The sequence below is a fragment of the Homo sapiens genome, chromosome 15 (genome assembly GCF_000001405.40).
Source record: "Homo sapiens chromosome 15, GRCh38.p14 Primary Assembly".
Classification (NCBI taxonomy): Eukaryota; Metazoa; Chordata; class Mammalia; order Primates; family Hominidae; genus Homo; species Homo sapiens.
Genome location: NC_000015.10, coordinates 61,671,939 through 61,695,079, shown reverse-complemented (window position 1 = coordinate 61,695,079; position 23,141 = coordinate 61,671,939). Strand labels below are relative to the sequence as shown.

Sequence of the window (23,141 nt, the reverse complement as noted above, 5' to 3'; positions counted from 1 at the left end):
ACAGCCAATCCAAATGGGAGAAATTGGCCAAAACAAAGGGGTGACAGGCCCCATGCATGTCTGAAATCCAGCGGGGCAGTCAAATTTTAAAGCTTCAAAATGATCTTTGACTCCAGGTCTCACATCCAGGTCACGCTGATGCAAGAGGTGGGTTCCCATGGTCTTGGGCAGGGTCCACCCTGCTCCAGTATGGCCTCTTCTTAACTAACCATATCTGTAATGACTCAATTTCCAAATAAGGTCACATTCTGAGGTTTTGAGAGTTAATACTTCAACATGTAGATTTTGAGGGGGATGGGGAGGACAATTTAACCCATAATGGTATGCCTTCTGACACCCCTAAATTCATTTCCTTCTCACATGCAAAATACAGTAATCTCATTCCAGCATCAAGTCTAAGTCCAAAATCTCATTCACATACTATCTAAATTAGGTCTGGGTGGTACTCACCACATGATTCATCCCTGGGGCAAAATTCCTCCGTATCTTTGAACCTGTGATACAAGTTATTTGCTTCCAAAATACAATGGTGGGACAAGTATAGGATAGATATTCCATTCCAAAAGGGAGAAATCAGAAGAAAAAATAAGGGTTATGGTTCTAAGTGAGCCTGAAACCTAGCAGGGTAAATTCCATTTGATTTTAAGGCTTGAGGATTATCCTCTTTGGTTGAATGTTCCATCCTCTAGGCCTGCCAGGGCGGCGACCTCACCCCCTCCACCCTAGGTAACAGTTCTGCCATTTAGAATGGAGGAGGTGGCTTCTCCTTCTGGAACCAAGGAGGTGGCCCCATCCTTGGGGTCATTCTTCCTTCTTCTTGAAAGATAACACATATCTGTAACCAGACATCTCTATAAACCCATTTGCTGCCTTTAGAAGCCCAGAAGTCTGGCATCTTTCCTTCATTTTTTCCTGTCTCTGTCCCCTTCCATCCAAGTTGGCAACATTTTTGTTGAGATGGTTGATTGGCTCCACCTAGTTTCTATAGCAAACACCTGTTCAGCCACACCCGTGGTGCTTTCTCCAGAACATACTTTTTAAATTTTTTGTAATATATATAAGTTGATAATTTTCCTGATCTTCAAATTCTGGTTTCTTTTTGCTTAGCAGCTCCTATTTCAATTTATCTTTCTCCTCTCACATTTTACTATAAGTAGCAAGGAGAAACCAGGCCACACCTTCAATATTTTGCTTATAAATCTCCTCAGCTAAATAGCCAAGTTTATGACTTACAAATTCTACCTTCCACAAACAGTAGAACACAATTCAGCCATGTTCTCTGCCACCTTAAAACTAAAATTGCCCTTCTTAATTACAACTGCAATGACCCTATTTCCAAATAGGGTAACATTCTGATGTACTGGGGGTTAAGATTTCAACATATGAATTTTTGGAGAACACAATTCAACCCATAACAACCTGCTAAATTTTCACTGTTCTAGAAGGACCTAACAACCGTCTGTCTCAAGATCCACATTATGTTTTTGACTTGGGTGTACTCAATGACAAAACAGCCATCAGAGACGTCAGCAAGTAACCCAGTTAAGTTCTGTGGAGCTGATTTCATGGTTGTATGAGTTTCCAGGGCAAGGTCTCAGCCCTGCGTCCTGGTCTAGCTTAGTTGGGAAGCATTAAATAATAATAGTCACCATATATTAAGTTCCCATGATATGCGAGGGGCTATACCAGAGTCCTCATAGATATATTATGGAATCTTTAGAATAACATTGTGGGGCACTATTTATGATTTCCATTCTAAACATTAGAAAACCAAGGTACAGAAAGTTTAAGAGACTTGTACATGGTCATAGAGAGTACAGAGAGATCCATGCCTTGAAGTATCTCAGAAAATTACTGGGGTGGTTGAGTCAGTCTGGAATCATCTGCAGACCTGGTATGTCATCTGCCTTGGGGAGTTCATCAGTACAACCTTATTCACTTTGAGCCTTTAGAGCTAGATACCCAAGAATCTTCCCATTTAAAAACAGTTTTTAGTTCTGGTTGGTTTTTCAGCTCATCATCACATCCACAGATCAAATTGGTGGTCTGATGATCTGGTTGGTATCCAAGTCCCTGCCTTGTTCATTTTAGCCTCTTCAAGGGATCCTGCTCTTGAAAGCCTGGCTACTGAAATGATTCTGTGCCTATTTGGAAGAATCTGTTTGTAGTGGAAATTGCTAGCAGACATGGGACTCTGCCTATTTAAGCAGTCTCCCCGTAGACCAAGTTCAGCTCAAATCACACCCTCAAATTTTCAGGTCCTCTTGGACATTATGATTGCCACTGCTTGTGCATCCCTTAGGTTCAGTGGGCTTGGCAAGTGAGGGATAATTACTATTTTGGATAATTAGTTAATTAAATATTTTGAGCATGTGTCATTTTAACAGTAATCAATTCCATGGTCATGATTTCTTCCCTCCTAGAGCATTACAATCTCTGCCCAGGCCCAATTAACTCCCCTGTGCCTGAAGTCTTATCATTGAGATCCTGGTGTGCTTCACAGCCATGGCTGCGTGAGTTAGACAGAATATATATGCAGGACAAAAGCCCAGAGAACCCTTGAGGTGAATTTGGAGTTCATCTGTTCGCTAAGAAATTTCAGGTTATAGCCACACTATGTTACTTTAATTCTCACTCATTTCAGTATCCTTGCTTCATTAGGTAATAAAGGGTAGAGGTACAGCTCATATTTTGTCTGTGGCAGAGGCCAAAATCCGGAGATACCCATGGGAATATGTGTCATGTTTGTGAATATCATCCACCTGTGCTGTGTTTGATAATAGCCCATCTATTAGGTCAACTACAAAAGATCATGGCAAACCCTAGTCAAATATCCTGACTTCCCTGACTGGTCCACAGTGGATCTCTTATTTCACACATTCTTCTAAACATGCTTTGATTCTATTAATAAATGGCCTGTACCACCTCAAGGGCTAGTAAGTCCCATAAGTTTCCTACCTGCTGTGTAAAGTTACATTTCCTTTCAATTTTTCCCAAATGGCTTCCTTCCAATTTGGAGGCTGCTCCCTAGTCCCCATGTGTAGGGTTAGCTGAACAAGGCCGTGTACAACTTCTCACTCCTCTTAATCATTATCTGCAGAGACTTTGATTGGATTGTTTCTGAGTCCTGATCTTTTCAGAGTGAGGAAGCTGTGTCATTTAATACCTTTTCTAACACAACAGAGGCTGCCTACTCTTGATCATCTGGCTTTCCTTCACAATGGGTCTGCTGTGGTTGTTAAAGCTCTAGAAGTGTGGCACCCAGGACAGCAGGGGTCCTCCCAGGCAGGACCCCCCACCTGCACTCCTTGCCAGCAATAATGAAATCTCTTGGCCCCATCTTCCTCAGTTCTTATTCCCCCGAAGATTCCTTTAGCCAGAAGAGTGTCCCTCTTAGAATTCTAAAGCAGCTAACATCCCACAAAAGGGGAAGCAAATTTCCTCTGGGGTCACGTCATTTGCTGTCATTCCAAGCGTCTGATTATAGATTCTGAAGTTCTGAAAGCCCCCAAAGAGTGGAATCACCTGCCGAGAAGCTGCATGGCTAGCCAGGGAGAGTCTCTTGATGCACGCTTTATTTCAAGCATGAGGACCTGGTTTATTAGAAGCACTAGGGGAAAAACCCACACCTGAGACTTCTCACATGCTTGTGAAATTCAGATATGAGAAGAAACATTGTTGGGATCAATCAGAATCTGCTGGCCACCTGGCTGGAGGGAGATGGCCGAGGAGGCAAATGGTGAAGACTTTGAATATTCTGCCTTGAATAAAGTGCCCTGGCTCCCTGGGGTTTGGACAAGGATGAATGAAACCTGCTTTGGCTTGTTCTGACATCCAGTCCCTGGAGCGAATGGCATCTGCAGCGGGAGGCAGGGGATTCAGTTCTTCCTTTTTAACAGGAGCCTTTGTGGTGCCTGGTTTAGAATCTCTCAACCCTGCCATTCCGGCTCCCTTTAAAGGGTGGCTTGTCAACACTGAATGTTGGGTGAGCCTTGAAAAGGTAGGCTTGTTCTTGGCAAAATTCTGATTTAAAATTAAGTTTTCCTCCATACTTACAACTGAAGGTCAATTCAAAGACTTGACTTCACTAAGGGTGGGCCAATGAGAAAGAAAATTAAAAATCTGCTGACCCCAACTTTTAGGGAACATTACCCAAAGTGACACTATTTTATGTTCAACCACTTGTAGGTAGAGAAACCCAAATAGAGAGGTAAGGAAGACAGGGGTAGAGAGGAAAGTCGATGAAAGTGCTAACACCAGCATGGCTTTCAGGTCAGGTAAATCCAATTACTTCTAGCTAGCTGTGTGATCTTGGGCAAGTTAATTAATCTCTCAGGGATAATGATACCTATTGCACAAGGTTGGTATGAGAAATAAATGTAGTATTTACACAAGGTGCAACACATTGTAGGTATACAATAAATGTTCTTTTTTCATTTTCAGAGACACTATCATAGATTCTTCTACAAAGAAAATGCTTGCCAAAATGTAATTACTATTACATGCCCCCCCAAAAAAAATTAAACAGAGAGATAATGTGTGATTATCTCTTTGTTTTACTTTTTGGGGGGCATGCTATGGAATGAAGATGTTTGAACCAACAGCAACATGTTCATGAGGAAGTTAAGTTGTGACTATAGAAGGCAGACAAATGGGCAGTCCTTATGTCCTTTCTCAGGAGAGCCTCCACAAAAACTGGGCAGGATGTCATTTAAGGATACATGCCAGATCTGTGACAGAGGTCCTCTGTGAGGACAGGTTGAGGAAAAGGTGTTTCACTTCACGGGTGTTAATAATGGGACAAGTGTTAGAACAGCATATATTGGTTGCATATAATTTGCTACTAATATAGAAGGTGATTACATTTATTTTAAAAATTTTGGCAAATGAAAACATGCCCTAGAGAAAATAGCAAGAGAGGAAAACATGGATAGAAGTTGCAGAATTCAGAGGCCTTGATTACTTAAGAGGAGAGGGGTCCACTTTAAGAAAAAGAATACAAAATTAGGCCTAAAAATATTTATTTAGGATGAGAGAAGAAATCGTAACAACTTACACATTTAAAAGCTGGGAAATACTACAGACATCACAAACTTTGGGGAAATTGTTCATTATTTTAATCAATAAATCAACTGATAAACCTCTTTCCTTTATATTTTTTTGGTTTCATATTCTTCGATTACTTTTTCCTGTGATAGTGATCTTACAATATTGCAGAGAAAGCAGAAGGATAATTTGCTCTTTATCATAGTTGATTGAATATTATTTTCATTATTTGTGATTTAGAATAGTTTCATTCAACTTCACAACTCATCACATAAATTTTTAAAGGACCAGCCCAAAATGGCAGCATAGAGCAAGCTGGCTTCGCTCTCCTTCACAGAAAACTCAAAACAAATATACAGCTTTGGGATTTTCACCAGCAACAACCCAGACTCACTATAAGAATGAGATAGTTCCTGGGGCCCCAGAGAAATAAAAAACTTTGAGCAAACAATAGGATAATTGGACTTCCACAACTTCAACATTCCTCCCCAACATTCTACTCAGCACCAAGCATGTGGAAAATCTCCCCCCAACTCCTGGTTTCTACACCGGAAAAAGTGGGATTGAGGTGGTCAACCAGCTTCTTCACCATCTTGGGTGTACTTGCAGGAGGTCTGTCTTGCCCTTACCCCACAAACATCGTGATTGTCTGAAGGGAGAAAGAACTGTCCCCGAGGACAGCCAGAGACAAAGGGAGAAGGTGGGATGACTATCCCCAGCCCTGGAAACTCTGCTGTGTAACTTGGCCAAATGAGATGCCTCATCAGAGTGGCTGCTTAGCAGCACCATGCCATAGGAGGTACATTCTGCAGGTCCCCTGGGCACGAACCCCTAAGCCAGCCTTCCACACTGCTGAGATAATGCCTGTGGGACCTCCCCAATTCAGGACAGGAAGTGCTCTAATCATTTACTGGAGCCAAGGCGAACCTGGGTTTAAGGCACCACCTAGAGCCAAAAAGGAGGCGGTGACTTAGCGGTAAAGATTCACTATGTGGGCCGGGCGCGGTGGCTCACGCCTGTAATCCCAGCACTTTGGGAGGCCGAGGCGGGCGGATCACGAGGTCAGGAGATCGAGACCATCCCGGCTAACATGGTGAAACCCCGTCTCTACTAAAAATACAAAAAATTAGCCGGGCGTAGTGGCGGGCGCCTGTAGTCCCAGCTACTTGGGAGGCTGAGGCAGGAGAATGGCGTGAACCCGGGAGGCGGAGCTTGCAGTGAGCCGAGATCCCGCCACTGCACTCCAGCCTGGGCGACAGAGCGAGACTCCGTCTCAAAAAAAAAAAAAAAAAAAGATTCACTATGTGAATATATCCAATAAAAATCCAACAAGGTGGATAGGGAAAACTGGAATACATAACTGATCCTTCAATGCAAAGACATAGATGCATACCCTTAAGAAAAAACAGCAGAGAACCCTGACCTCCCCAAAAGGACAAAACAAAAATCCAGTGACTTGGTCCTAATGAGACGATGATTTGTGAGCTCTCTCACCATGAATTCATGTAAATTGTTATGATTTTCATCAAGTTTGGGAAAACATCAATCAAGCTTCTTTCCTGTGTGAACTATAGGATTTCAGGGCATTTCACTTTTTTGGTTCATGGACTAACTCTCGATACTCCTTGAATTGATGATATTAGGACTGTTCCTGGAAGTGCCCATGGCCAGTGATCATTTAATTATGCTTGGGAGTGACCACATTCCACTTAAAAACACTTCACTAAACTCAGACGTGTTTCCATAACTCAGCTTCCCAGAAGCTACATCCTCCAAGTGCCCAAGATTCCTCCAGTAGCCTTTAACTCTGAGGGGGAAAGATCATGGCAGGTAAATTGGATTGGGAAGCAATAGCAGTAAACCAACTGAAGTCGAACTATCTTTTGCAAATTTTATAAAAATTTTATAATCTTAAATTTTATTGGCATCATGGATAATCTGCCTCTGTCCCTTTGTCTCTAGGATTGCCCATCTTGTACCTGGTAGAAGGTCAGTTGGGTGAATCAGGGTTACTCCAAGCCCTTCTTTACATTCTAGCCCCTCTAATGCTTTCCCTTCTCCTCACTCTATCCAGTTTCTGCTCAGCCTTTGAGGCCCAGCTCATGTACATGTCTTCCACCATGACCACCTGGTCCTGTATTGTTCACATTGATTTCTCCCCTGCCACTGTCATATTTCCAGTTGAGACAGGGAAACCTGGAGGCAGGGACACCTAACACAAATAATTCTTGACAAATGGACTTGAAAATCCATCTGTTTCCTATGGTTAACTAATTACTGACTGTCCTCTTGACCTGGGCCACTCACTAGAACCAGATGTTCTCTAAGTTATTTTAAGGATTATTTCATAAATGTAATTTTGACTCTTTTTTCCCAAAGATAAAGGAAAGCCTGCTGGGCTATTGCTCTGTGCCTACTGATTATACAGGAGAGAAAAGCCTCTCATAGATGACTGACTTCTAAAGCAGATGTGCCAAGTTCCTTGGGCTAAAAACTCTTTAGTTGGAAATGATCAGGGCATTTTTAATATGAGTTTTCAGAATGTGTACTTTGAGCAACGCTAATTATGATCAGTGTGATGGTGACTTGGTTTAAGGGTTTCAGGGATTTCAAGTGCTAATAAAACTGCCCAGAGGAACATGAACTCACCTGATATAGCAGAACTAATGAAGGACTCGGCGCACAAAGTGTCCCTTGTCAGAGCGGAAGTATTTGTGTGTGGCCTCATCCAACGAGGCATTTGACAAGGACAGAAATAGAAAACCGTTTGTGGCCACCTGGCAGAGATTTTCCTGGTGTCTTGGTTTGTTATTCCTACTATTGTACTTCATTCTTTCCTAAAAATCTTTTTTTCCCCTCTTTGCCTTTTCAGTTGGCTTCAGCACCTTTGTGAGTTTTCATCAGCACATTTCATTCTTTACGGAACAATGAAAATATAAGAGAGGGATAAATGAGGGAATGAGTCTGTTAGTAATTGTGATGGGAAGTTGGGGGAATTGCGTTGGCTTCCCTGTTGTTCGTCTAAATCACGTTGTTCATTTTCCTTGACACATGCACGAGGGAGATGAGGGCTCCTGTATTTAAATGAAGAACGATGAGCATCCAGGCTCCTCTCTGAGTTAGGATGAAAATTATTATTCATTGAGTACCTACTATGGGTTGGGCTAGGTGTTTAGCACTGAGGACAAAAGGAAAAGACAAATTTGTTGTCCGGGGTGCTTAGAATCTCTCGAGCCTGTAGTTTGCCATCCTTACAGCACAATGGCTGCAATCCTTAACTGCACAGCTTCTGGGTGCCAGGAATGGTGAGAGATCCAGAGAGGTCAGGCAGCCTCTGCCCACCAGGCATAAGGTGGCAATGCCAGAGCGTAGTCAGGCCCGAAGTCCCTGGGAAGACAGCAGGAAATCAGTGTGGGCTGGTAGCGGAGAGAAAGGACAGAAGAGAAACCTGGTATTCCGTTTATCCTGTTTAGCTCACAGCAGCCCTAAGAGGGGGATAGTATCCTAATTAAAATATGAGAAGTTCTGCCTCAGAGAGGTCGATGATTCTTCTCAGTGTCACACAGCTGTCTGCAGAGCTTCTTGAAAGCCAGGAGTGTCTTATGCATCTGTGTATCTTCAAAATGTCCTGGTACAGAGGTAATGCCCCATCAGTCCTTGGGAATTAAAGAAGTGATGAAGTGCTGAAAGCAGGTTTCAAACTCAGCCCTAAGCAGGTTTCAAACTCAGCCCTGTCTGAATCCAAGGTCTGTGGTCTTCCCTCTGTTCCACGGTGGGTTCCACTGACAGAACCAGAGGCAGAATTGGAGGATATGGCATTGCCACATTCTGCCTGGCCTGCCCTCTTTGGGCAAAGGCTGCCTGATCTCTCTAAATCTCTCACTATTCCTGGCACACGGAAGCTGGGCAGTTAAGGATTGCAGCCACTTGGCTGTAAGGATGGCAAACTTCAGGCTAGAGAGATTCTAAGCTCTGTAAGGACAATGGATTTGTCTCATCTTGAGTAAACAACTTAAACAGATTGAAATCCATTTTTAAGCCTCTTGAGGTTCAATGATAGTGGGGATTTCCTGTGTCTCCAAGGAAAAAAAAAGACACAGGATTGACACCAAGGAGTGAGTTCAGGGCTCAAGAGGAGACTCTAGCACCATGGGGAGTGGAGAAGGAGCTGAGATGGCTACACAGAGAGAACAGGGAAGGAGAAAGTTGCGGGTCTGGGGCAAGTGATCTTCTTAGCGTTGTTTGGATGATTCAGATTGGGTGGTGCCTTGGAGATCATTCAGCATGCCACCTCGTTTTGCAAGTGAGCAAACAGAACTGAGAGGTTAAGTAATTACTCGAGGTACAGGGCAGTCAGTGGCTGAGCTGATGCTAGAACCCTGGTTCATGGGCCCCTATACCTCCCTTTTTTATGATTTCTTCATAGTTACCCATGAACAAATATTTAATGTGTCTACTGTCACTGGTGTGCATCTTTGTATTTGTCTTCTTTAAATAGAGAGTGAGGGCACCTAGACAAGCATTAAAACCCAAGAAAGGGCCGTGTTTTGTTTTGCACCATTTCTGTAGTGCAAATTATATGGTCATTGGTCTCTAAAAAGATGAGACATGGAGATCTAGTCACATAGTGTCCAGTATTTAGCATGACTCTCCATTTGATTTTACATAAATACTGCAAGGATCTGAGGGAATGATGCAATAAAAAATATCCTGTGTACAAATTTGATAAGCTCTTAACAATATGGTGCCTGACAGCCTCTCACTTAAAGAGAAGAATCCCGTCAATCAGCATGAAGCATGCTAAAACCTCTGCTTCTGTGAAGTTCTTTATGCCTGCAAAGCAGCTTTCTTCTCTCCAACTCTTAACTGTCTTTAATATAATATGCCAACTGTAGCAATTGGAAGCATAATGAACAGTAAGTTGCTTTCTTACTCTCAAGAGCTTGTTATTCCCCTGACACTAGCAAGACTCTGGCTTCTGAGTGTTGCATTTGCACTTTTTCCATTCTCCATCCTCCACTCTCTACCCAACTTGGAGTGCAGGGCAGAAGCAAACATCCATGAATCAGGCCTTTGCCCTGAGCTGGGCATAGTGTCAGATAATTTCTTATTTACTTAATCCTCACAATAGTCCTGGAAGAGTGGTAGGTGAGAGGTGTAATAGTGTCCCCATGGTAGAGATCAGGAAACTGAATGTTATGGAGTGAATTATGTTGCCCCCCAAATTCATAGGTTGAAGCCCTAACCCTCCGTGTGACAGTATTTGAAAATAGGCCTTTAAAGAGGTAATTAAGGTTAAATGAGATCATAGTGGGTGGGGCCCTAATTCCATAGAACTGGCCTCCTTACAAGAAAAGGGAGAGATTGCAGGAGCACAGGTGTGAAGAGAGAAAAGGACTTGTGAGGACACAGCAAGAAGACAGCCATCTGCAAGCCAAGGAGAGAGGTCTTGGGAGAAACCAAACCTGCCAACACCTTGATCTTGGACTTCCAGCCTCCAGAACAGTGAGTAAATAAATGTCTGTTGTTTAAGCCACCTAGTTTTTGATATTTTGTTTATGGCAACCTGAGCACACGAATACACTGAGGCTCAGGGAATTTAAATCAATAGCACAGAAATGGCTATTCTCCCACTGAGAACCTGGAGAAGCCCTCTGAGGCAGAAACATGGGCTCAGGGGACTTGGGTTTGCATCCAGGCTGTGTCACTAATGAGCTGTGTGACATAGGAGAGTTACTGCATGTCTCTAGGCTCATTTCCTCATCTCTTACAAAAAAAGAAAAAAAAAGTGAAATAATTGACCTTTAGTATCCTTTTCAACCCTTGAAATTCTGTGTCTATCAACATTTTCTTCTAGGCCTCAATTCCTCATCTATAAAAAGGAATAATAATACCTACCCTAAATAGCCTGAAGAATGTAAAGAGAATCTAATGAGTTACAGGACTAAGGAAGGACTACGTATAAGATAGGTGTAGGACATGATCTGCCCGGGCCCAAGTCCCAGCTGGGCCGCTTTCTAGCTGAGGTTCCTTGGACAAGTACATGTACTGTTTCGAAGCTTCTCTTAACTCACCTGCAAAATGGGCCAAATAATACTCCCTACCTTAAGGAGTTGCTACAAAGAACAAATTAGATGCTCTGTGGACCATGCTTAACAGAGAGCAGAGCCCATCCCATTCTCTATAGTGTCAGTGATTTTTATTGTTATTATAGCCCCAGAATGGTGGGCTTGTCTTCAGTGAGCCCTGTTAGAGTTAGCAAGGTCGGGCTTCGGTTCCAATTCCAGTGCTTACTTGCCTGTGAGCATGGGCAAGTTGCTTAGCCTCTGGGATTTTTGAGGTTCTAAGAATTCTGAGTGTTAGGTTAGTGCCTACTGTACCGATGATAAATTGAGATAAAGCACGGAATGTGCTTTGTCAATTATAAGGCTGTATATAAATGTGAGGAATTACTGTTATGAGCAAGGATCATTTCCTCCGTTTTCTGCCAATACCGTATATGTACTGCCAAGAGCCTTGCTTAGAGATGCTTGAAAAATGGAGAGTGTGGAAGGAATGGAAGGCAAATGCTTACTGTAGTTATAGTAGCACACAGAGGTGTCATATTAAACAGAATTAATGATAAACTTGGAGAGGGTGGCATGGAACATGTTCCAAAGTATCCCCCTCCCCCATCATTGCTAGAGAGTGTCTCAAGGCAGGAAAGTGTTTACAGGACAAACACCGGCAGAGTGCTTCTAGCCAGTCCAGATAAAGCTGGGATACCTTTGTTAGATAAACACAGCGCCCAATGGCTGCCAGAAAGGTCACTGGTGAGAAAGGGGAAGGTGATCTGTTTTTTTCCTATCTGGCATATGAAAGCCAGACTTTTTGAGGTTAGGCCTATGGTTACTGGTTGTGGCCTATCTGGAACATCAAAGGGTCAGGTGCATGGTAGGATGAGGCCTATAAGGACCCTGATGGCCAGTGGAGAAGGTGGGGTCAGAGCCTTCTAGGACCAGAGGCTCCTGCCCAACATAGCTCTCCAACATAGATGGGGTCCACCTGCCCACTCCTCCTTCCTCTTCATGGATGTAGGGGTTATGGTAATGTGTTGGATGGGGGTTGGAACCAATAATGTGGGGCTTGGGATGTTGCAGAGATTTTGGCTATCGGCATTCTTTTCTAAGCTTTTCTGTCTCTGAATGAGATTGGTTCAGGATATTTGCTGACTCTCATTGCATGAGGAACACTGTGAGACCAATAAAATGTCCTAAGACTGCTATTCAATAGTTTCTATCTTAATTTCTATTAACTGTCTTTGAAGTGTTTTGAAATAAACTCTTTCACATACACATTTTCACAAATTATTTCTTACCTATACTTTGTGCAATGTACTGTAATATTTTCTATTCTATTTGATTTTATTTAAAAAATGTTGATCAAGACCCATTAAATTAAAGTCATGATGTACAACAAGTTTGCAACCCTCAGCTTGGAACCACAGGAATGCTCTATGGTCATCCAGAGGTACCGCAATGTCCTGTGAACAGTCACTGAGCTGTACCTTTGTGATGTGTGCACCTTCTGAAACAGGATGACAATGTAGAAAGACCATAGGCTTTGGTGTTAGACCTGAGGGCCAATGCTATCCTTTCCTGACTTACGCCCGTTTTTCCTTACAATGCCTACTTTACAGAGGAGTTGTAAGGACAGGGTGATCATGTGTATGTGAAAATGCCTGACATAGTCTGGCCCAAAGTAGGACTTCAATAAATATTAACTCCCTTCTTATTTCTAACCAGTTGAGAGTCAGAGTCCCTGACAATACTTGCAGTTTTTTAGAACATCTGTCCTTGCTATGTCCGCCTGTTAGGTTCAGAGAGCCTTTGAAGGAAAACAAAAGAGTTGCTTCTCCGCACTGATTGCTTTGAGGGGCTTCTTTAGGGTTGAATTTCAATAATCTTAAAGTTGCTAGGGGAGCTTAAATATCGTTTGCTCTCAAAGAATTCAGTGGCTAGGGATCTTACTATATAGAAAGACGATTTTTTTTTTTTTTTTTTTTGCCTTGGTTAGATGTCTTTTTTGGTTAAGAGGCTGCTCTGCAAACACATCAAGAAGAGATAGTATCTGAACCCAGGACAAGAGAAAACTTACCAACAGCTGAGTCAATAAAAGCATTGTAGCACCTGGTGAGCAGTTAGGTAAAATGCATCTGAGCCCTCCTTGTCTGATTTCAGATTTTTCTGTCCCATGTTTGACTTCCCATGACACATCCTTGCTCACCACCTGTACTCAGTATAACTTAGTTATCACTCCCTGCCTGTGTCCTAGACACATCATAGAAGGGTCCAGGCTGGACTGTTTTGGAAGAAAGAGTAGTCTGTTTTGTGCTCCTTGTCATTTTGTAACTCACCAGCACTTGCTCCATTCACTTTGTGGCCAGTGCTCTGAGACCCTCGTCCTCTCAAGGTTCTCTGCTGCCACTTCCAGCTAACCACAGGAGATGAAAAGCAAAAGCAACACTGTCCTCCCCACCACTCATTATCCCAGGTATGGACACAGGCTTCCCCACCACATCCCAGGACTCTTGTGTTTAACACAGTTGAGTACTTGAGGACCAGGGAGCACTAGGGGGATGGGAACTGAAGACTTGTTCAGATACTCGCTCCCGAAGACCATCAGTGACATGCACCATCCTATGTGATGGGAAGGGCCAATGCCTTAATTCATTTGCAGCAGAACCCTCCCTTTCATTTTCTCTCTTACTTCAACTCTGCCTCCCCACACATCTGCCTCCTCTGGCACTTCCTCTTCCTGATATCCCAGGGAACCCCCCACTCAGTTTATGATGCAATAGCTTCTCCCTCCAAATGACCTGCTTTATCATGCAGATCAGTTCAGTTCTTTGTTTCAGTCCCTTTCCTTCTTTGCAAAAAACCCACAGCAGACTCATAACTTCAAAAATTGTCTTCACTCCTGAGATAAATTTTTTCACTCCTAGAATTTGGAAATACTGGGTTTTGTTTTGGTTTTGTTATTATGCTTAGGATGATTATTAGTTGATGCCCTTTGGGTGGGCTATCTATACCAACCTCCACACCCACCTCTGAAGTTATCTCCTGGGTCTCAGATGGTTTCTGATGCCAAATCTCGTTTGTCTATTCCCAACTGGTGAGCCCCTGGAGTGGATAGAAACTACAGAGGGATAGACTTTGTTCTACATAAGAAAGGACTGAGTCATGGTCATAGTTAGGGTGAGAGAGGATGTCTGAGCAAAACTGTCGCATCCAGAGGCTGGTTTCCATGAAGCAGGACTGATAATAAAATATAATCTTATCCTAAGTGGCATCCCTCTGGCACTAGGTAATAACAATACTTGGATCTCCTGTCAGGAAATATCCAAAAGGCAGAGATGTCTGGCATTTGTGGAGGACATTAGATGCATTAATATGTTATTAGGAAATGATAGGAGCAAATATTCCAACCAGGGACTTGGCTCTGATCAGTGGGGCTGTTGGTGCATTAGGAGAGAAATTACCTCTTCACTTGAGATGCACAGCGTGTGTTCAGACCTGTAAGTATGGTTTTGGAGTCACAAATGGAGATGTGCTGAAGTTGACAGAGGTGACAGCTCCTCACATATGGAAAACTGAATAATAACAACAATTCCATTTGTGAAGACGGGCTGGAAATTACATTTTCAATTTTGATGCAAGGCAGGGGCTGAGATGAACAGCTTCAAATTGGAGTTTGCCTGGGCTATTTTGCTTTTTAAGTGACAAAGGAAATAATGGTTGATGAAGTTGCCTTTAGGGGATCTGGGAAAGATTCTTTCTACTATTAAGAATATGAGATTTCACATGGAAGCTATTAATTACTACTAGCCATTTGATAAATGCAGCATTCACTGATCTAACTCTGTCAAACGCTGTGTTGCCCACACTGCTCCGAACGGCATAGTTGTAAATACAGATTGCTGATATTCATAGAGGAGTATCTGCTTATAAAAGGCTTAAGTTGGCTTCTGTTTTTGTTCTTGTTTTTCAATGGATAGTGTGATGGGACTATGAATGTAAATAAATATATTGTTTACGTTACTTCAAAAAATGAATATTAAGTCAAACTGGTTTTAAAGGAGGGAAAAACAGAATCTTGAGTCCTAATCTCAAAAAGGATAAAATATTTACACGATTACTTTGTCTTGAAACTAAAGTTACTTCTTTTAATTTCAGCCAATTATAAGAGTCTCTAAGAGCTTGGGCTCTTGAACCAGAGGCAAATGAACATGAGCCCCTGTTCTAGCTTGGTTTCCAGTTCTTGTGTAGACAGCTTGTTAACATGGCTATTGGCTTCCACTCCTAAATCAACCCCAGATTAAACCTTACAACAGCAGTTTTCTACCTTTTACCTTAGAATCACCTAAAGAGTTTTTAAAAAAAACACTGAGGCTGAGTTCTGCTCTAAGTTTGGAGAAGCAGGCATCTAACAAGCCAATTCTCCCATAAACAAAATCTATAAATCCTAGACAAAATCTCAAAAACAATTCCTTGAAGTCTTTCAAGACTGAAATCAGATAAGTGGATTTTGGAGACGTGCTGAATCTCGAAACAAGCAACTTCCACAGAGTAAGTTCCATGGCTCTGTGGCAGCTAAAACTCTAAAACAAACCCCTCTGAAGATTTGGACAGAGGAATCAGTTGAAGGAGCTCAGATCAACCAGGGTGGCCAGAGTATGAGGGGGAAACCCTGAAAAGAAAAGAACTAAAAAAGAGAAGCTCCAAATTCTGTGTTCAAACTCAGTCCTAGTTTCTGGCTGAGTTTCATGAATTCATGGGACAAATTGGAAGCGTAATACGGCTAAAGCTTAAAGAACTAAACTGAAGTCCTAATGCTCTCTCCCCACCTGAGGTGTGATAGTTTGTAGTCTAAGTTGAATCAAATTAGTAGTCTACTAAAACAAAAATGCCAACACTCTTTGGATAAATATAACATAATCCAGAGTATTTACAATTTAATATTTACAACATCTAGGATGTTGCTCAACATATTAAGAGCCAGGAAACTATGACCTGGTCTCATGGGAAGAAACAATGAACAGATGCTAATCTCTACATAATAGTTTGCAAGGGCTGCCTTAACAAACAATTACAAGCTAAGTACCTTAAAACAACAGAAATTTATTCTCTCACAATTTTGGAGGTCAGAAGCCTGAAATCAACATGTCAGCAGGGTTGCTTCCTTCTGGAAGCTCTGAAGGAAACTCCTTTCCTTGCCTTTCTCCTCACTTCTGGTGGTTTCCAGCAATCCCTGGCATTTCTTGGCATGGGGCTGCATGAATCCAATCTCTGTCTCCATCTTCACATGACCTTCCTCTCTGCATCTCCATGTATCTAATCCTCCTGTCTTTCTCTTATAAGGACCCATAGTATTTTAGATATAAAGTTTTGTATCCAGACATATTATTATTTAAATATGAAAACATAAAAGTATTTTCAGCCTACAGGGCTGTGAATGGGGCTTAAACACAAAGATCCATATTGAAAAAAATTTGGAAGGAAGTATTCAAATCAGTAGAGAAACAAATCCTGCAGATATGGCAAGAGATATATAAAATAAGAATGATCAAGTATTTCAGCAAAATTGGGTATTTTTTGACTGTAAAGAAAAGCTAAGCAAAAGGAAAAGAGAAAGCATATGCTTAATAATTCATTACTAAAATTCTATGTAGTATCACTGAGAGGGAAGTCTGGAATATGAGAATGTGGGTGGGTAGAGACCAAGTGATATAAGAACAGGATAAAGTTCTTATTTTGTTAGAGGAGTGTTATAGGTATCAATTTTTTTTAAAAAAAAGGCAATAAAGAAGACTAATAAAAAACCAAAGAATTTAGTAAATTGAAAGTAGAAACTAAAGTTATAGCAACAAATCCTTGTATACTCATTATAAATATAAATCATCTAACTAAATTCCCAAGTTAGAAGACAGAGATTACTAGATTAGGTTTAAAAATATAGTTTTATGTGTTTTATGAGACTAAAACAGAATGAAATAGAAAATTTTAAAATAAAAGAATGGGAAAAGATATATTGGGTAAATATTAGCCAAAAGAAAACCAGTGTAAAAGAAAAAGTAGGTTTTAAAACAAGAAAGCAACATCAGCGTTAGAAAGGGTAATATACAATGATAAAAAACGTTTGATCCATCAAGAAAAGGATGTGACAATTCTAAACGCATATGCAATTAATAAAATAGCCTTAAAATATATAAAGCAAAAGTTGATAAAGCCATAGGGATAAACTGATAAATCTCCCACCATGTTGGGAGATTTCGACTGATTCTTTTGTTTACAGATAGGTCCAACAGGCAAAAAAATTAGCAAAGGTGCCAATAGTTTGAATAACAAAATTAACAGGTAGAATCTAATAAAGATGTGTGGAAGTCTGTAGCCACAAATTAAAGAAAATACATGTTATATTTATTATAATATTTATTAAGTATTTAAGGAGTTTAAACCGGGTAGCAATTTCGAATGTGTTAGTTATTTTCGCATGTTACTTACAAAACTATACATGTTTTTATTGTCTCACTCCTTAGTTTTCTGTTGCTATGTAACAAATTACCACAAATATAGTCACTTAAAACAACGCAAAGGTTTCTGTAGGTCAGAAGTGCAGCATGGTATGGCTGGATCCTCTGCTTAATGTCTCACCAAGCTAAAATCAAGGTCTCCTCAGGGGCTGTAGTTCTGGAGATAAGGGTCCTTTTCCAAGCTCACTGATGAGTGAATTTGGTTTTTGGCTGTTGTAGAAGTGAGATCCCCGTTTCCTTGCAGCTGGTCTCTGCTCTCTGCTCCTGGGGCTGCCCACATTCCTTCTCAGAGGGCCCCCTCCATCTTCAAGCCAGCAGTGGCTCATGTCATTCTTCTCACACTTCCAACCTGTCTGACTTCATCTTCTATCTTTGTCTGCGCCACTATGCAGAGAAAATTCTCTCCTTTTAAGAGCACATATGATTAAATTAAGCCCACCTGGGTAATCTCCCATTTTAAGGTCCATTGTGCCATATAGCATGTTAGAACTATGGGAATGATATGTCATTAAATTCACGGGTACCAGAGATTAGAGCATAAAATATTGGGAGCCATGTCTAGAAGTTTTGCCTGCTATAAATCCTCACTTATTTTTCTCCTTGAGTCCTGTTATTTTTATTGTGTGAAATTCCATGACATGGTACTTTTGTAGAAATTCATAAACTATACTATAAGAGCAATGACTGTATGTCATAATTCCCCATATGATCATCTCTTTAACCCAAAGGTATGAGACAGACATATAGGAGTTTTGAGACATGTAGGAGATTTTGTAAATCTATCATTTTGTAGTTGATATCTGCATTGGGGTCACAGAAATAGACTATAAAATGTTAATTCTTTAAAATTTATAAAAGCTTTCCTTGAAGTCCAGTACTTAGATAACTTTTCTGAAGGTTCCATTTGTTCTCAAAATAAATTTATGTTCTACATTTGGTATAAATGTCTATTAAATTGTGTTATTAAAGTTTTTTATATTTTATTTATCGTCTGTGTTATGTTTCTGAGAGAAGTATATTAAATTTTCAACTATAGATTTTGTTTCATATATTATCCCCATAATATTGTCACTTCAAGGCTATGTTTTATGTACATACATGTATATGGCAATTATATATTCTTTTGTTTTCATAAGCTTATGCAACTTGGTTAAGGGAAAATAAATCAATTACCAGCCGAGGTATTAGATGATCACTCTTCCATTGACAACTTCCAACACTTATTCACAGGTAAGATATATTAAAGATTATATTGGAAGATAGACTAACTGTGTTGTCTTCTAACAATTTAAATGGAAATTATAAGATGTTGAAGACTATTTTTGAATCAAGGTGTTCCACAACTTCTATTTTTCTAGAGACCAAGAACAGATTATTCTTTTATTGACAAGCATAACATATATCATGTTTTGTTTTGCTTATGCTATATATTCAGCACCAATTCTTTAGCCACCTCAGTTATGAGCAAAAAGTATATCATGTACATGAAGTCTCTATTGCTGCAGGGCTTAAACAAGATGGATGCTGCTACAGCAATGATGCTTCTCCCATGTGACACCTGAGTATTCATCTCCCTGCTGCTCAGAGGATCTCCTTAGCAGGTTAAAGCAGTGAGGAATGGTTTTAGCATCATTAACTAAGTTAGATTGAAGTATTGGACACATAATATACAAGTTTCCATATTGACAAATTCTGAATCTTAGCTACCTATTCTTTTGCAACAGCTTTACATTTTCTGAAAGCAGTTACTGTCCAAAGTTAGAAACAAGTCATTTTGGTTGAGCGTGTACTTGAGTAAAGAGATGTAAAAAAAATTAAAATGTAAAAGAAGAATTCATATAGGAGAGTTGCCAGATTAGAAAATTAAGAAGTGCCAGTTATTTAAAGTTTATCTCTCCTGTAATGCAGGCTTTTTTTTTTTTTTTTTTTTTTTTTTTTTTGAGACAGAGTTTCACTCTTGTTGCCCAGGCTGGAGTGCAATGGCACAATCTTGGCTCACTGCCACCTCTGCCTCCCGGGTTCAAGCGATTCTCATGAGAGCTCCCGAGTAGCTGAGATTACAGGCATGCACCACCACACCTGGCTAATTTTGTATTTTTAGTAGAGACAGGGTTTCTCCATGTTGGTCAGGGTGGTCTTGAACTCATGACCTCAAGTGATCCACCCACCTTGGCCTCCCAAAGTGCTGGGATTATAGTCATGAGCCACCGCGCCCGGCCTAATGCAGGCTATTCTAACATTAAAGTAGTATCATTGCATGTCATACTTCTGAAACTGCCCCCAAGATATTTTATTGATTTTTCTTTGTTTTTGATTTTCAGGCAATCTCTGATAGTAGAGGGTTATCTTCGTTTGGATCACATAGCACTGGAAAATAGTGGATAAAAGAACCTTTGAAATAGTTTAAGCAGACTACATTGATGTTAAAATATCAAGACAAATATTGCCGTTACTGTTAACATATGGATGATAAATTATTTTAAGTGCAATCTTAAGTGGTTTCAATGCAACCTTAGGTTGATTTATAAGAAAATAAATTTTCACAAAGTAAGCACTACTTGATATGGACTATTAGGTCCCATAATTGTGACTTGCCAATAACACTTATCATTCCTGACCAGATCTGCAGAGCATTGTGCTAGAGGGTCACGGGCCAAAGAGCTAAGTTTCAGTGCCATGTGTTGCCTTTATTTGATCTGGCTCTGTACCCTCTTGGTGTGGGCACAAGATTTGGACTAAAATACTTGATTTTGGCTGGTAGGAAGGCAGGAAGGGTGCCTTTTAACTAAATAAGCGGTAAGTTGGATAGGGAAGACAGGACCAGGGGCCAGTCATAGGATAAGCAGGAGAGGGCAGTGGAAGTTTGTGGGCAACAGAAACCCTCAGATGTAGAGATGCAAAGAGAATCAAAGCATCCCCACCGTTATAAGTTCTTTTGCTTCTGTGCCTTTTATTTGCGTAGGCTATTAGTTCTTGTTTCTTACTATAATTTCTAGCCTTAAATCCTAGGTTATATTTTGACTCAACCCTGTTTGTTGGGCATGAGGAAAATTAGAGACACATTCTGGGGTTTGGAGTGAATACACTGTCTGGTGGGGGAAGCCTCTGCATCATCTGCAAGTAATGGAAGCACTTGCCTGAAGTAGGGAAGAGTTGGACACCTTTGCAGGTCCAATGGTTCAGGGGAATCTAGGGATCAAAACATGTTACTGCACTAACCCAGTTGACCCCATCATGTCAGGGTCCCAGTCTTTCCCAATCGGGGCCCTAATTTTGCCTGTGTTGAGAACTTAACCTTCTCTGGATCTTAGTCCTGATCTTCAGTTTTCTTTCCATCCCCCAAGGAAGCCTTCTGGTTTTCACCCAGCTTTTAATTGATGATCACCATCACCATCTTTCTCTACAGTTTCAATTGTCCCCAGCAACAGCCCTTCAATTCCATTGTTTTTAAACTCCTATTTCCTCTATATTTCCTCAACAGCTGACTATTGCACTCCTTCCACCGGTATACCATCCCAGTTCACCACTTGTGAACATTTTAGCAGTTGTGCAGCAAACTTGTGCTAGGTGCAGTCTGTGCTCCTCCACCTGCCCTGATGGTGTCCTTGATCTGACTCCAAAATTCTATTTTAGTGTCTACTGTCCTGGACCTTTCTTGGTAGTACCTGTTGTAGGTTGAGATCCTCCAATAGCATGTTCTGAGACAGAGATGAGTGTGTAGGGATTTTATTAGAAAAAACTCTGAGGATCAGCCTCATCGGGGTAGGGTAGACAGCAGGATCAGTAGAAGGAGAATCTGGGCTGCAGTGCAGTTTTAACAGAGGCCCCAGCCAACCACACAAGAAAGAGCTGAGAGTCTGGGATGGCCTTTTGGCATTGTCCCCATTGGCCTTTTGGGACAGAGGATCTGGTTCCTTATACCTCTGCAATGACCAGATGTTGGGTACAGTTTGCCCTGGGAATGGGGTATGATCTTGAGCTCTTCAGCTGAGGACAATTTCTGGAGAGCACTGACAGCTGAAGGCACTGTGTGCAGCTAGCTGGGTGAAGGGTGATGTGGGCACATTTGTGCCTTCCAGGAAGATGCCAGCAACTCTTGCTAGTTATTACCTTGTTACCTGCTTTTCTATTTCCTAGAGTTGGTATGAAGATTAGAGAGAATGTGGAAAGTGCCTGGCACAGAGTTGGTGCTCAATGTATTATTATTAATAGTAGTATTAATATTAGTATGTATATCTTTATAGTACTTTGCCATGTATTTTTTGTAGTTGTAATCAGCTAAAATTAAGCATATATTTCATGTTGCCACATAATCCTTATAACCATGATTTTGATTGGTGCTTCAAATGTAATTCCAGTGGGTTGATCATAATTTACTATTTTTACTTTGTGTATAGTTTCATGTCTTTGCAGTTATAATACTGAATTGGACATCTTCATGCATCAGTATTTTTCCAGGCATCAGATTATTTTCTTAGGCTAGATTCCCAGAAGTGTCATTACTGAATTAAAAATATTTTGATAGCTTTTGATTAAGAGTGCTAAATTGCTTTACAAATATATTGTAATAATTTTATGGCCACTAGCAATATTAAGAATATCAATTTTCCTGAAGCTGTATCAATAATGGGTATTATCAGTTTTTTTATCAAAATCAGGTGAATAATTTCAATTTCTATTTCTTTAAGTGAATTGAATATTTTTATAAATATTTACTAATACTGTAGTATACTCTCTTTCATGAACTATCCTTTCATGCCCTTTATCTACATATTTATTGGGATATTTTTTTTTTTTTTTTTTTTTTTTTTTTTTTTTTTTGAGACGGAGTCTCGCTCTGTCGCCCAGGCCGGACTGCGGACTGCAGTGGCGCAATCTCGGCTCACTGCAAGCTCTGCTTCTATTGGGATATTATTAATGCTTTAAAATAATTTTGTGAGTTCTTTATATAATTATACTATTCATCCAATGCTTTATTCATCATGCTTTGTGAGCCTGTTATTTGCTTTATTCTACACTATGCTTTAGCTATATAACACTTTAGGTCTTCAGGTAGTTGTATTTGTTGATCTTTTACTTTGTAACACATTCTTCATTTTATAGCATAGTACCTCATATCATCTTAAGGATTCTCATAAATATTCACTTTTATTCTTTTAATTTTTCTGTTTTTTTTTTTAGTCAACTAATTCATTCAGAATTTATCTTACCTGTGATATGATATGAGAATATAAACAGTTAACCAGGTATGACAGCGCTGTTTTATTTGTAAAAGTTAGTTGAAAGGGGTGAGGTGGAGTTGGGCTGACAAGATAGAGAGGAATTTGGGAGATAAAGCCCAGCGCTGGGAAGGAGCAGAGTTGATAGAGGTGGATCAAGGAAGCCAGGTCAGAGTGTTCTGTTGAGTTTGGTTTCTGATGCATTAAACTATTCCGGTGAAAATGAAGCTAGATAACTCCGTGTTAAGGAAGGATGTGCAGCAGCGCTTGACTGACGGTGTGCAAGTTCCCACTTAGTAAGGTCA

General features: G+C 40.7%; 2 long non-coding RNA genes across 2 annotated transcripts in view, besides 2 other annotated features; both read left to right on the top strand.

Annotated features, from left to right (window-relative positions):
• Positions 1 to 23,141, top strand: part of LOC107984782 (uncharacterized) — a 208,325-nt gene that overhangs the window by 20,107 nt on the left and 165,077 nt on the right. The window lies entirely within an intron of this gene.
• Positions 5,368 to 7,988, top strand: LOC107984783 (uncharacterized). Its single transcript, XR_001751571.1, has 3 exons — positions 5,368 to 5,658; positions 6,799 to 6,876; positions 7,919 to 7,988. It is a non-coding gene; the product is annotated as an uncharacterized LOC107984783 (long non-coding RNA).
• Positions 13,647 to 14,248: an enhancer, noted in NCBI's record as "NANOG-H3K27ac hESC enhancer chr15:61973031-61973632 (GRCh37/hg19 assembly coordinates)". NCBI's record gives its function as "activates a minimal SCP1, AML or CMV promoter by ChIP-STARR-seq in primed H9 embryonic stem cells {active_cell/tissue: H9 hESC(primed)}" and the evidence as "EXISTENCE:reporter gene assay evidence [ECO:0000049][PMID:30033119]".
• Positions 13,736 to 14,030: an enhancer, noted in NCBI's record as "tiled region #8834; K562 Activating non-DNase unmatched - State 22:ReprW, and HepG2 Activating non-DNase unmatched - State 24:Quies". NCBI's record gives its function as "activates a minimal TATA promoter and a strong SV40 promoter by Sharpr-MPRA in K562 cells, with weaker activation in HepG2 cells {active_cell/tissue: HepG2 | K562}" and the evidence as "EXISTENCE:reporter gene assay evidence [ECO:0000049][PMID:27701403]".